The following is a 14,522-nucleotide window of genomic DNA, read 5'->3' as shown; positions in this document are numbered from 1 at the left end:
GCTTGTTTTAAAGCCAACAATTAAAACTCCCCATGGGGCTGGGTGTGGTGGCTCACACCTGTAATCCCAGTGCTTTGGGAGGTTGAGGTGGGCGGATCACCTGAGGTCAGGAGTTTAAGACCAGGCTGACCAACATGGAGAAACCCCATCTCCACTAAAAATACAAAATTAATCAGGTGTTGTGGCGCATGCTGTTAATCCCAGCTACTCGGGAGGCTGAGGCAGGTGAATCACTTGAACCCGGGAGGCAGAGGTTATGGTGAGCCTAGATTGCACCATTGCAACTCCAGCATGGACAACAAGAGTGAAACTCTGTCTCAAAAAACAAAAACAAAAACAAATCTCCCCGTGGAAAATCTGTTTAATTAATGCTTTGAACTCAGTAAAAACATAGGCCCATTGGTCTGTTTTTCTCTACCAGCCTGCACTTCCTGTTCTCTGTGTGGCCTGTAGGCATGCCATGTATTCCCAGAATCTGTACGTACTAAAACCTTTTAAACTTTCACACTATGGTTGTATCATTGAAGCTGTGCCCACAGCCTAATTTCTAATGGCAAGGCTGCCTCGAAGGGATCCTTATGGGTGAATTCCCCTGCTGATGTTCTTTTGTCTGAGCTTCTGGTGGTTGCTGGGCACAGTAGATACCAGCTAGCTTGGTAGAGAAACTTGAAGAGTTTCATTGAAAACAATGACCTAATATGTGATCTTCCTGGAGAATGTTCCATGTGTACTGTATATTCTGCTGCTGTTTGATAAAATGTTCTGCATATGTCTGCTATGTCCATTTCATCTAAAGTATAACAGTTCAAATCCAGTGTTTCCTTATTGATTTTATGTCTTGATACTCTATCCATTGTTGAAAGTAGTTTCTTACTATTCTTGTATTGTTGTCTATTTCTCCCTTCAGATTTGTTCATATTTACTTTATATATTTACACGCTCTAGCGTTGGGTACATATGCACTTACAATTGCTGTATCTTCTTGATGAATTTACTTTTTTTATTATCATATAATGACCTTCTTTGTCTCTTTTTGCAGTTTTTGACTTAAAGCCTATTTTGTTTGATATAAGTATAGCTACCCTTGATCTCTTTTGGTTTCCATTTGCACAAAATCTTTTATCGTACCTTCACTTTTATTATTTTCACGTCCTTAAAAGTGAAGTGAATCTCTTATAGGCATCATATAGTTGGGTCTTGTTTGATCCACTCTATGCCTTTTGATAGATGCATTTAGTCCATTTACATTTAAAGTAATTATTGATAGGTCAAGACTTAATATCTCCATTTTGTCAACCTTTGCTGGTTGTTTTGTTGATCTTCTGTTCCTTTCTTTCTCTTTTGCTGTCTTCTTTTGTGACTTGATAATTTTCTGTAGTGGTATGCTTTGATTCCTTTCTCTTTATTTTTTTGTGTATCTACTCAGGCTTTTGCTTTGTGGTTACTGAGGCTTACATATTATAAAACATATTATGGTTGTACCAGTCTATTTTAAGCTGATAAAAATAACATGAAATGCACATAAAAGCTTTGCACTTTTATTCCCATTTTATATTTTTGTGCCACAATTTATGTTTTTATATTGTACATACATTAACAAGTCATTTTAGCTATAATGATTTTAATACTTTTGTCTTTTAGCCTTTAGAATTATAAGTGATTTACATGTCATCTTAGCAGTATTTGAATATTTTGAATTTGAATATTTACTGATTTTTACCTGTGAGTTTCATACCTTCATATGATTTTGTATTAACAAGGAGCATCCTTTTGTTTCAGCTTGAAAAACTCCCCTTATCATTTACTGTAAGGCAGGTCTAGTGGTGATGAATTCCCTAAGCTTTTGTTTGTCTGAGAAAGTGTTTGTTTCTCCTTAATTTCTGAAGAATAACTTTGCCAGGTAAAGTACCCTTGGTTGGTAGGTTTTTTTTTTTTTTTTGCTTTTTATTTCAGCATCTTAAATATATAATTCTATTATTTTCTGGCCTGCAAGGTTTCTGTTGAGAAATATACTGATAGCTTCAGTGAGGTTCCCATGTATATGTTTTTTTTCTTTTGCTGCTTTCAAAATTCGCTGTGTCTTTGATTTACTGACAGTTTTATTATAATGTGTCATGGCAAAGTCTTTTGGGGTTGAATGTAATTAGAGAACTTTAAGTTTCATGTACCTAGATGTCCATATCTCTCTCCATATTTGAGAACATATCCACCAGTATGCCTTTAAATAAGCTTTCTACCTCTTTCTTAGCCATATAAATACCCCCAAAACATGAATATAAGCTCTCTTGATAGTGTTGCATACATTATGTAGGCTTTCTTGATTTTTTTTATTCTTTTCATCTTTTTTCTCCTCTTACTGGACAACTTCAAATGACCTGTCTTTAAGTTTGCTTATTCTTTCTTCTGCTTGGTTGAGTCAGCTACTGAAGCTCTCTATTGCATTTTTAAAATTCAGTCATTGTATTCTCAAGCTCCAAAATTTGTTTGGTTCTTTTTATATTTTTTCTTTGTTGAACTTCTGGTATTTTTCTTCCAAAGTTTTCCTGATTTAGTTAATTGTTTATCTGTGTTCTCTTGTAGATCACTGAGTTTCTTTAGAACAATTTAGTTCAAATTCTTATCAGGAATTCAATGGCTATTCTTTGGAGTTGGTTACTTACTGACAGTATATTGTGTTGCTTTGGTGCTACCACATGTCCCTGATCCTTCGTGATACTTGTAGTCTTGTGTAAGAGTCTGAGCATTTGAAGAAATAATCACCTTTTCCAGACTTTATGAACTGGATTCATTAAGGAAAATCCTTCACCTATGGGTAGGTGAGGGTGGGGATGGGTAATGCTGGAGAGCACTGTGGCACTATGCTTAGTGCCTAGTGTATGGGTGGCTCCAGGTTTTGGAGAGGGATGCAATGTCTTATTGGTTCAGGTAGCTGGGGTCTGTAACATTTGCAACTGTGTGTTCCTTGGTGTGGCAAAGGCTGTGGGAGGTCCACAGTGTCTGACAGGACTGTAGGTATACTCAGTGGTGCCCTGGGTCCAGTGACAAAGGACTCGTGCAGGCAGCAGGGGGAGTCAGGGCCATTGGTGTGTTCACACTCAGCTGTGGACATGCACTTAATGGTTAGGGCTGGGGCAGAGCCAACTGTGGTTATATGGCAGCTGGTGGCATGTACATGCATGACTATAGCAGTCAAGGCTCATGGTATACATATGTGCAATTGTAAGGACCAGCTGCATGCACTCATGTGGTGGTGGGGGCCACCAATAGGAGTTAGACCAGCTACATATGCATGTGCAGCTATGGGGATCAAGCTGGAAGTGTACATGCATGCAGCTGCAGGGGCGAGCTGCAGGTACAAGCACAGTGGTGGGGGCCAGGGACAAAAGTTGGGGCTTGCACGTGTACAGCGATAGGAGCCAGGGCTGGGTAAGCACGCATGTAGGCACAGAAGCCAGATACAGACACATTTTCAACTGTTAGACCTGGTGATGGGAGTTGGGGCAGCTGCTCAGGTACACACAGCAAAGGGGTTAACCACAGGTACACACATGGTTGTGACAGATGGATATTTGGCTGGAGCCCAGGCCATTTTGGGGCATACATGTAGTGGCTTCCCTGGGTTCCTGGGTTGGGGTGTCTACAACGGCAGCAGCTAAGGCAGCTTTGGGGAGAGGGGAAGAAGAGAGGTGGTAACTCAAGTACCTAGAAACTGCAAAAGTGAAAAACTGTGGGGTCCTCAGCAAAAATTGTGAGGGGCCCCTATGGCTATACTGGTTGTTGGTTTCCTCAGTGGCAGAAGCTGCTGAGTTCCGTAATGGTAAACACTGTAGGCTCCTTGGCAGTGAAAGCCAGTCAGGGGTTTGTGGTTGCTGTGAGGCTGTTGAGATCCTGAGGGTAGAAGACAGCTGGGGTCCCATGCAGAGCAGTCACTAGGGAACCTGGTGGCTCCTGCGACATGGCTGATACTGATAGCCCCGCCCTTCTTTGTTCCCAGATGTCTCCAAATGTCTCAGCCATGCTGATCTCCCTAGCTATATGGGGTGGGGTGAAATTGAAAGAGGTCATTTGGGGGAGTGTCCTGAAAGCTCAGGAAACTGATTGTTCATCCTGTTATCCTTTTCTCTTCAAGGGTAACTTTTGAGCTAAGGAGTTCTCTCTCTGTGCTAAGCACTTCTGGTCTGGGGGATGGGATGATGCATGCAAGATGAAACTGTTCTTCCTACTCTTTTTGCACAATTATTCTCATTGTTTTTCTTATACTGTGTTGCTGTATCTTCTCAACTGGACTCCTGAGCTCTCCTACAGCTATTTTCTTTCATAGATAGCTGTCTGATTGTACTTTGTCGGGGAATGAAGGCTGGGATCTCCTTCTCTGCCTTTTTGCTGACATCGCCCCATACTTCGTGTTTGCAAACTTAAACATCACTGCCATGCATCCTGTAAATTATCATCAAGGAGGTGCGATCTGATGGAAAGGTCTTGGGGCTAACACTCAGGAGACCTGGGTTGAGTCCTAGCTCTATCACCACTGTGACAGTGTTATTAGGCTAGCTCTTTATGTTTTAGGATTCAATTTTGAGGACCCAAGCTCTACTTATCTCAGAAAAACTAGCTAGCAGATGAGGCCATCTCAAATAGATCCAGAACTTTCCAAGAGGAAGGTGATGTGATGAACTCATAGTTATCTGCTCATAATTTAAGCCTGGTAAATAAATCTCAAGTCCCAATCATCCAGGTAAATATTTAATAATTGTTGCACCACTTATTGAGTGCTCTCTCTATGCCAGATACCCTGCAAACAATATCCCCACACACTGCTTCTCCTTGAATACTCACAACCCCACAATGGGGTAAGGACTGATAATGCCATAATTTCATGGGGAGGAATTCAAAGGGAGGGAGTCTGAGGGCCTCTGGTAGGAAGAGGGTGAGTCTCTGGTTAAAGACAGGTCAGGTTGACTCCACATTGTGTCTTCTATTCTCCCTGCTGCCATTCTTTACCCCACAAGCAGAGCCTGGAAAGTTGGAGGGGCCAGGAGACATCCATCTGAAGCCATGGGGTAGGGGAAACCTAGGCCTCAATGAGCAGGCTCTAAATTCAGAAGCACTTTCCTTATGAGCATGCAAAGTACTTCTTCAAGGAGTCAGAAAGGTCGCTCAGAGAAACTGATGGATAAGGGCCAATTGGGAAGCTCATTAGAATGGGAGCCGTCTCTGTGTCTGCCCCTAGGTCCTGCTTCATTACCTGGAGGACTGCTTCTGTACACCTCGCTGTCAGGGGCCCACACTCCCTGAGAGGGCCCATTCTCCTCTTCATCTTAGGTTGTAAACCAGCATTAGAGGCAGAGGCCTGGCAAAGGCCCATTACTCACTTTTAATGAGACAGCCAGGGAAATAAATTGGCATATGTTAGCAAAATGGCTCATCAAGGTGAGTAATTATCTTCATGACTGGGGCAGTTTACCCTCCAAAGAAAGACTTTGCATCTCATCTCACTGAGCTGTGGCTCTTCAGAACTAGGGCAGGAGGCCAAGTAGAGCTTGACCACTGAGCACAGATACCTCCACTTGTCTAGTCTTGCTATTCACCATGGACTTGTCACTCCCCAAATTCCAAAGCTTTTATGGGATACACTGCACAACTGATTACACAGAAAAAGAAACCCAGAGGAGAAAAATACAAAGAAGTTGTTCAATATTTTATGGAGTGGTGTGTGCACATGTGTGCCTCTGTGGTGGGGACAGGCTAGTCATTTCACAGAGCCTGTGGGAGAAACTATCGGGGAACGATTCTGACAGGCTCTACTAATTAAAATTACCTTCTTCTTAGTTTTGAGCCAAACTTTAATTAAAGTCCTATATTTCCTCCTTTACTTGCTTGTGCATTGACACTGTGGCCTGTATAATTATCTCATGGTATCCAGGTATGTAATTGTCTTTTCCCCATGTTTTAGCATTTTAGAGGGAAATTACCTTATTATTATTTTTTTCTGTCTTATGAATATTAGTTCTGTCTTCCAAGACTGATTCTAAGCTACTTAAAGACAGGGATGAGAGTGTCTCCTTCACTTCTAGTCCCTATGGCATCTGCCGCAGTCTCAGGGTACAGAAGACAATGCCATAGAGTAAGTTTCTACCTGGTCTCAACATCATGAAGTGTTGGGTTTCTCCTGAAGGTGTACAAGCAGGTGGCTGATGCTATTTTCCTCTAGACATTGGCTATCAGGAGGTACAGAGCTAATTTGCTGCCCAACCCTGGTTCATGGCATTCTTTGTGCACCATCTTCACCCTTGCTGCCACTGGATTTTCTATTTTTTTCTGCTAGATGATGAGCTGTATGTGGACAGGCCCATGTCTATTTTAAGTTCCACTCTATCTCCTTTCCAGTGTTCAGCACCATGCCTGGCACTCAATAAATAATTACAGAGTGAATGGAGTTTGAATTTTGCAACTTTTGCATCTTTGTGTGCTACTTAAATCTTATTGGAAACAAAGTAGGAAGAACATATAAACACCCACACACTCACACTAATAATTAAACAATGTACTTGGCAAATAATTACACTTGATTTTAGGTGTTGAAGGTGTTGAAATTTACAGCTAAAGTGGGCTGAGTTTGTTGGGGCTCTGGTTGTGGCGTTTATACTACAATGAGTTTTCTATTCGTGGTGATGGGGAAATGTCCAAATGGCTTTATAGGAATGCTTCCAGTCTTGTTCAGTCTGGGATTGGGTTATTATGGGAGGGTTCTTTCATTCTTCATTCTCACTGGGGTTGAAATTCTCAAAAGGACACTGGCAAGAACTTTATAAAGTCCTGAATGAGGCCAGGCACAGTGGCTCACGCCTGTAATCCCAGCACTTTGGGAGGCCGAGGTGGGTGGATCACTTGAGGTCAGGAGTTCGAGACTGGCCTGACCAACATGGTAAAACCCCATCTCCACTAAAAATACAAAATTAGCCGAGCATGGTGGCGCACGCTTGTAATCCCAGCTCCTCGGGAGGCTGAGGCAGGAGAATAACTTGAACCCAGGACGTGGAGGTTGCAGTGAGTGAAGATTGTGCCATTGTACTCTAGCTTGGGCGACAAGAGCGAAACTCCATCTCAAAAAAAAAAATCCTGAATGAATCTATGGTTTAGAAGGGATTTCAAAAGTCCCACCTCCTCTGTTAGCATGTCTTCATCTAGAGGCAATAGGGCTGGTATTATGACTTATTACATAGGAAACGGACCCAGATATGGCCAAGCTGATGGCATGGCTCACATCTGGATGACAACTGGAAAATTTGACCAGGAAATCAACCATCTTCGGTATCTAGATGTGTGGCACTGTGAGTTGTACAGACTACATTGAGTGAGTAGGTTTCTGAGGTTTCCTGAGGGTGTTTTAGACCTGGCAGGGCTGCTAATCAGATAAGGCCATTCCCTCAAGTGTGGGACTGAGCTCTGGGTTATGGAGCTTAGACCAAACATGGCAAGAAAGGCATAACTTGCCAAGCATATTCAGAGCCCATGTTGGGTCTTCAGAGTGGAGGCGATGGATTTGTTTTCCTGACCCCACAGGGGTCCTCTGAGGTCACTCACCATTTCTGTCGATGGCAAAAGGCACATCTGTGGTGACGATTTCATAGTTGCAGATCTGGCTGTACTGTGGGGAGCAGTCCTCGTCAATGGCCTCCACCTGCAGAATGCTGTCATAGATCTTGCCCTCCGTCACAACAGCCTTGTAGGCTGGCTCTTTGAAGGTGGGAGCAAACTCGTTGACATCCTTCACCTGTATATGGACCACGGCCCTGGGACCACACACAGAAAGGAAGGGATGGTGGTAAAGAAAGAGTCACACCAACCTCCTGTACCTCCTGGGGGCACTGACTGAGGTCCCAAGGCCAAGTGAAAGGAGAAACCATCAGCCAATTGTGGCAGTTGTCTGAGTGTCCCATCCTCCCTCTCACTGGAGACTCTCTACTTGCCCTTGCTCTGACGCTCTGAGATGAATCCATCCCAGAGAGACTTTTATGCCCTTCCCTCTGCACCAGCTTTAGGCAACAGGTTTACTGTTCATTCCTCCCTCTATTCATCCACTCCTCCATTCAGTAAGAATTTAACCCCTCTTACTCTGTTAGGCTCTGAGATAAACATAAGGGAAAAAGCAGTGACAACCCACAGTGAAAACTGCTGTGACAGAGAGCAGCTTATGGCACGGCAGAGGCCCAGGGAAAGGTCCTGACCAGGTCTGCGGGGGTGGGCCAGCTTAGGGAAGGCTTTCTGGAAGAAGTGACACCTAAACTCAGACCTGAGGGTGAAACAAGAGTGTCTTCCAGTGAAGAAGAGGGAGTAGAATATTGCAGGTGTGGAAAGCAGACTGGGAAGATGCCTGCATGGGACCAGGAAACTGCCAAGCAGTTGAGCAAAGTTGGAGCACCATTGTGTGACAAGAGGGTAAACATATCTGAAGAGCAGCATGTGAATGAAGTGGGGTGGGCACGGGAGGGAGGGGCGTCCAGAGGGCTCTGTCAGGCCACTCACTTGTGTGACTTTTTCCAGGCTGTCTCGTGGGGCCCAGCACCACAGTCATAGGCCTGGATGATGAATGTGTACTCCTTCTGCAACTCACAGTCAATGGGGCTCTTGGCACGGAGCCGGCCCTCTCCTGATGTCTTGTTGAGCACCACAGCCTCAAAGGGCAGCTCCTGGCCATGGATCTTGAACGCACAGATTTCCCCTGCAGAAGGATGGAAAACAGTGAGTGGGAATCCTGAGAATTGCCAGACTGAAGACAGTGCTTCCATTGGACCAGATTCACAAACTCAAAGCCTCCATGCAATTTCTTCCACGCACATAGTGTGGTCCACGAGCCAGCAGCATCAGCATTGCCTGGGAGCTTCTTAAAAATACAGAATCCCAGGCCCCACCCAGACCTCCTGAACTGGATCTGCATTTTAACAGGATCCTCAAGTGATGTGTGTGCTCACTAATGTATGAGCAGCACTGCTTTCCTCTTTCCTTTACTCCTGGTTTAATCACTGCCTAAATTGCTGAAGCTAAATTCCCTCTACCTCCCCCACTTCTCCATTTTCTGTCTCCAGCTACCATTTCCCCTTCCAAGTTGCAGTTTTCTCTTTTGAAACAGTGGGCGTGAGTCTATGTGAGTTCCAGAGTTCCAGAGCCCCTGTGGAGCCTGAAAAGCTAACATCTTAAAGAGCTGAACATGTTGTGAAATTAATGCATTTCTCTCCTTCAGCTGCGTTAATGTTTATTATAACTATTTCTATGCATTAAAATTATAATGCCATGATAATATCTCCTTTTTTCTCAATCAGTGCATGTTTATTTATTGAACCCCAACTGCATGCAAGACCTGTAGTAAATGTCTTGGGAAGTGCTGAAAATTTGAGACATGTCCTCTTTCCCTATTGAGAAAATTTACAGACTTATTAGAGAAAAGAGTTTAGCTATAGGCTTTGAGGGAGCAAAACAGAGGCCAAGAGCCCAGAGGCCTAGATTCACATTCCAGGCTTGCCACTTACTAACTGATTGGCTTAAATCAAATGATATTGACTGTCTGGGCCTCTACTGTGTCATCCGTAAGATGGTCCCAGAGATGGTGGTGGGGTGGGAGGCATCTACCCTAAGATGCTCCAGCCCTGGTCTGACAATGCTTCAGCTGCACTGCTGAGGCCAAGGAGGGGCAAGCAAGGTACCTACGGTGCATCATTTAATGGGGCCTTGCTCTCAGGTTAACCCAGGCACCTTCTTGCCTCACCCTAGTCCAGGTCCTGCCCAACTATTCGTAAGAGCTGACACAGTGAAGAGAAGGGATGAGATGATTGCATGCTTGCTCTGCACCAGGCACCAAGCTTTGTACCCATACCCAGAGAACTTCATTTGAACTTCATAAAAAACCTGCAAGGCAAGTATTTTATATCAATTTATTCCAATTTTTAAAAAATAAAATCAGAAAGGTTAAATATTTGCTCAATGTCACAGAGCTAAAGCTAAGTATTAAACCCAGGTATGGCTGATTCCTAAGTCCATGTACTTTCTATCCCACCACACCATCTCCAAACAGCCCCATAACTTCTAAGGAACCACTCCATGGATTGCCTGGAGAAACTCTCTACATTCCAATTCAAGTCTCATTCAGGAAAGAAATCCTCTGATTTACATATAGGAATCATGCCATGATCTCTTACTAACAATGTTTTCCAAGATGTTCAATCAATACCAATCTTACCTTTATGCTTTTCAAAAAGAATTTCATTGATCCTCAATTTCATTATTAACATTTCCTTTTCACTACCACCCCCATCTCCCACTCCCCCGCCGCCACCCCTCCTAGCCATTTCTCAATGTACTTGTGGAATAAATGGACAAGACAGGTTATGGACCCAGTTCCAGTAAGAAGGCTAGTTCCCATTCACTTCCGTTTTTTGGGATCACTAGGCATTTCAGTACTGTGCATTCTGACAAGTTCTGCAGCCTCCAGGGCAGGAGAATAGGGTTTCTCAAATTCTCAAGTTTAATTTCTTCTCTAAATTAGAAGCGTTGAATAGATGAACCTCTAAAGTAGCTGCTTTTTGATTCTCTCCCAAGATCAATGCCAATATGACAATATTATCAACAAATGTGTCTAGACTGTTTCTGGGGCATTCTCTGGAGTGCCCAACCACTGCCATGGTTATAAGGCTAATCAGACCATTTCTCTTTGAAGACTCAAGTCAAACCTAGAATAGATGAGTGTAATCTTCTCTTGGAAAGATCTGATCACAACTAAGTAGTTTTCAAGATGCAGAAATCCTTAACAACAGAAAAGGAGAGTAGAGAGGGAAAGAAGACAGAGGAGAGGAAAGAGGAGATACAAAGGGAAGACAAGATAAAGTTTAGGTGACATATTTCCATCTACGGAACAATTCAATTCAATAGAACTAATTTTTCCGAGGGCTAAGTCTCAGGCACTGTGCTAGGTCTGAGGACACAAAGACTAACAACTTGGGTACCTTAAAATATAAGGATGCTTTATCCTAAAGTACTTCTTACCTGATAGAAAAGACAGACAAGTAAAAAGGACAATCAAGACCCACTTTGTTTTCATCAAAACCTAGAACAGAACCTAACATTCATGTCACCCTCATTTATCCCACCTCTTCACCTGACACTTGGGTTCTGGTTGCAAAAACATTCATTCATTTATTCATCCACCTCATAAATATTCATTCTTCTCACAAATATTTTTTAGGCACTATGTGCCAAGCACTGGTAAACCAATAATAAACAAAAATAGACCCAGCGCTGGCCTGTAAGCCGCTTGCAGTCTGGTAGAAAGGGAAATAAGCAGTCAAATAATCAGTACCTGAAAGAAGGATGGTGATGGTGATGAGTACACTGAAGGAGAGCTATGTGTGCTAAAAGTATTCTGGCCTGGTCAGGCAAGGCAGGGAGGGCCTCCCTAAGAATGTGGTGGCTTAGGACCCTTCAGAAGAAAGGAACATGGTGAGTCCAAGGGACCGCAGGCCCAGTGTGGCAGGAGTGGAGGCCGTGGGGCAGAGCTAGCTTCACAGGCTTGGGACCTAAGAGCCACCCAGGGTCCTGTGCTCAGAAGCATCCTGAGCTTGGTTTTAATCTCTTCTGTCTCTGTCCTGAGTTTTTTTTTTTAAGATGAGGTCTTGGTTTGTCACCCAGGCTGGAATGCGGTAGTGTGATCATAGCTCACTGCAGCCTCAAACTCCGGAGCTCAAGCAATCCTTCCATTTTAGCCTCCTGAGTGGCTGGGGCTACAGGTGTGTGCCACCAACAACCAGCTAAGTTTTTTATTTTGCAAAGATGGAGGTCTCATTATGTTGTCCAAGCTGGTCTCGAACTCCTGACCTCAAGCCATTCTCCTGTCGGCCTCCCAAAGTGCTGGGATTACAGGTGTGAGCCACTGTGCTCAGCCTTGAAGTTCTTAATAATTTTATCTTTGAACCTCTGTTTTGTGAATAAAGTCTGATGGGACAATGGAGCATGTTATGAGCAGAGGAGAAGGCTGCAATACGCATGTCCACCACGTCTTGCTGCCCCATTTGCATATAGCTTTCAGAATTCCCATGGACCCAACAACATGTGGGATTTCAGTGGGACTCAGAGTGAGAACAAGGTAATCATGTTATGTCTTCAACTGACTAAGTAGGAAGCTGACCTCCCCAAGAGGCCACACTTCCCCTTTGAACTAGAACTTGTTTCAAATGCAAAAAGAGGGAGTAGAAAACTGAGAAATGTGAACAACCAAGGAACCCTGTTGTAGCCTGTCTTATTCACATTACATCCTGTATTAGCCAATCACTTACACTGAAAACGATGGTGGAGGGGAAAAGGGAAGATCAGACGACTCATTGCTTTTTTTTTTTTCAGGCTGCCCTTGCTATCAGTAACCCAAAGGTAAAGAGTAATATTCACATGAACATAAAGATGGGGAATAGACACTGGGGAATACAAACAGGGGGAGGGAGGCAGGGAGGCAAGGTCAGGAAAACTACCTATTGGGTACTATGCTCACTTTCTTGGTGACGTGATCAATCATACTCCAAACTCTAGCACCAAGCAATATACCTTTGTAACAAACCTGAATATGCACCCACGGAATCTAAGATAAAAGTTGAAAAAGAAAAAAATGGAAGTCAAATTAAAACAGTTGAGTTTGTTTTGTGTAGTATTTATACTGTTGTGGTAAGAATTAAATACATATGTATATATGAACTGTAAAATACAAATTCTGTAATTTTGGTATTCTGTATGCTAGCTAAATGCTCTTATATTTGTATTTAAAAATGGACATTGCATAATAGAAAAGGTAAAATTCAAGCTAATAATTTAAAGTTTTAAATATATCTTTACTTAGAACTATACCAAATAGAATATTTAAAACGTCATGACAAGTTGAAACAGAGACTTCTGGAAGAAAGGTCCCAGGACAAAATTCTAGATAGAAAGATATTTAAAACAGCAGTTCTCAGTGTCAGTGTAAGACACATTAGGCTGTCTTATGTCTTATACAAGAACTTTTTTTGTGAGGCTTGTCACTAGCATTTGTTATTATACTAACAGAGCACTGCAGTGGGAGGATGATACATTTAAAAGTAAAAGATCAGACCTAATGGTTTTCATATAAAGATATCATTTTCAAAATCTTGCCCTCCAATATGCTTTTGGGTGAGAGAACTGCTACTGTGCCAGGAATTGTGTGTGGACAACACACAGATGAGCATGGGTGTGAGGCTAGCCATGGGCTGCGTGGAAAAGGAGGCCAGCAGCACCAGGCCACCAGGCTCACATGGGCTGTGGGCCAAGGTGGCTGAACTGGGGCTTCACCAAGAGCCCCCTTCAGGGCCAGACCAGAAGATGAGCCCCTGCTGTGCCTGAGTGAGACATGACCACTCCGGACCCTCAGTCCTGTGAGCAGGTATCTCACAGTTACCTGCTTCTCAGCAGAAAGACACCAGCAGAAGTTGGTGTAGTTGTCTCCTAATACCTCACATAGGATTCTGGGGGAAAGGTCTTTAACTTGATTTTTAGAGCACATTTTGCTCCTTCCTTTGAATACTTTTGAACAACAAAGTAAGCTAATTCAATTTTTTAGATGAGGAAACTGAGCCTCAGAGAGATTACGTGTTCATCCAAGGTCACTTTGACAGCATAAAGCCAACTAAGGACTAAAATCTTGGCATCTACGGTCAGCACCCTTTTTGTTCTTTCATGCAGCTTATCACTTACTGGGTGAGTGTGATGTTCTAGGACAGTGGTTCTGAGTGTGCTCTGTCAGTCTGGCATCCCCAAGACACTTTGTAAGGGTTCAAAAAGTCAAAGTGATCATCATATTAATACTAAGATGTTATTTGACTTTTTGTCTGTGTTGACATTTGCACTGATGACATAAAAGCAATGGGGAGTAAAAGTGCTGGTGGCTTAGTGAGTGGCTAACTGCATTCTTCATCAAAGCATACATGTAGGGGAAAAAAGCCAATTTCACTTAAGAATGACTTTAATGATACAGTAAATATTATCAATTTTTATTAAATCACAATGAGTTCATGTCTTTTTAATATTCTGTGGGATGAAATGGAAAGTGCACTTTAAACACCTTGGCATGGCAAAGTATGCTGGTTTGTGTCTAGGAAAAGCACTTGTGTGATCTAAATTGTGAACTGAACTAGGACCTTTTTTCATAAAATGACATTTTTTACTTGAAAGAATGATTGACAGATGAACTATGTTTATTCAAACTTGAATGTGTGGCAGATGTTTTTGGAAGTAAGCCTGTCCCACCAAGAAAAAGAACTGAGAGTATTTGCTGTCAATGATAAAACTGAAGCTTTCAGTTTGGGGAAGCCTGTGTCTGATACTTGTCTGATAAGATGGGTAGTGATATTAATGCATGAGACTTTTGATATTGTATAATGAAATATACCAACTTTTGAAGGAACCACTTAACAATGAACCAGTATCTCTCAAACAACCAATGCATAATGTCACACAGTCATGTACAAGTA

At 42.8% G+C, this 14,522-nt stretch overlaps 1 protein-coding gene across 2 annotated transcripts in view; it reads right to left on the bottom strand.

The window, feature by feature from the left end:
• CLSTN2 (calsyntenin 2) overlaps positions 1 to 14,522 on the bottom strand; it is a 642,213-nt gene that overhangs the window by 165,047 nt on the left and 462,644 nt on the right. For both annotated transcript variants that reach the window (NM_022131.3, XM_017007022.3), the window contains exons 3-4: positions 8,527 to 8,722; positions 7,585 to 7,793 (exon numbers count right to left, since the gene is read on the bottom strand). In NM_022131.3, the coding sequence (NP_071414.2) occupies positions 7,585 to 7,793; positions 8,527 to 8,722 (405 nt within the window). The remainder of the gene's footprint in view (positions 1 to 7,584; positions 7,794 to 8,526; positions 8,723 to 14,522) is intronic.

The sequence above is a fragment of the Homo sapiens genome, chromosome 3, assembly GCF_000001405.40.
Source record: "Homo sapiens chromosome 3, GRCh38.p14 Primary Assembly".
Lineage (NCBI taxonomy): Eukaryota > Metazoa > Chordata > Mammalia > Primates > Hominidae > Homo > Homo sapiens.
The sequence above is the reverse complement of the archived record's forward strand: the minus strand, read 5'-3'. Positions and strand labels throughout refer to the sequence as shown.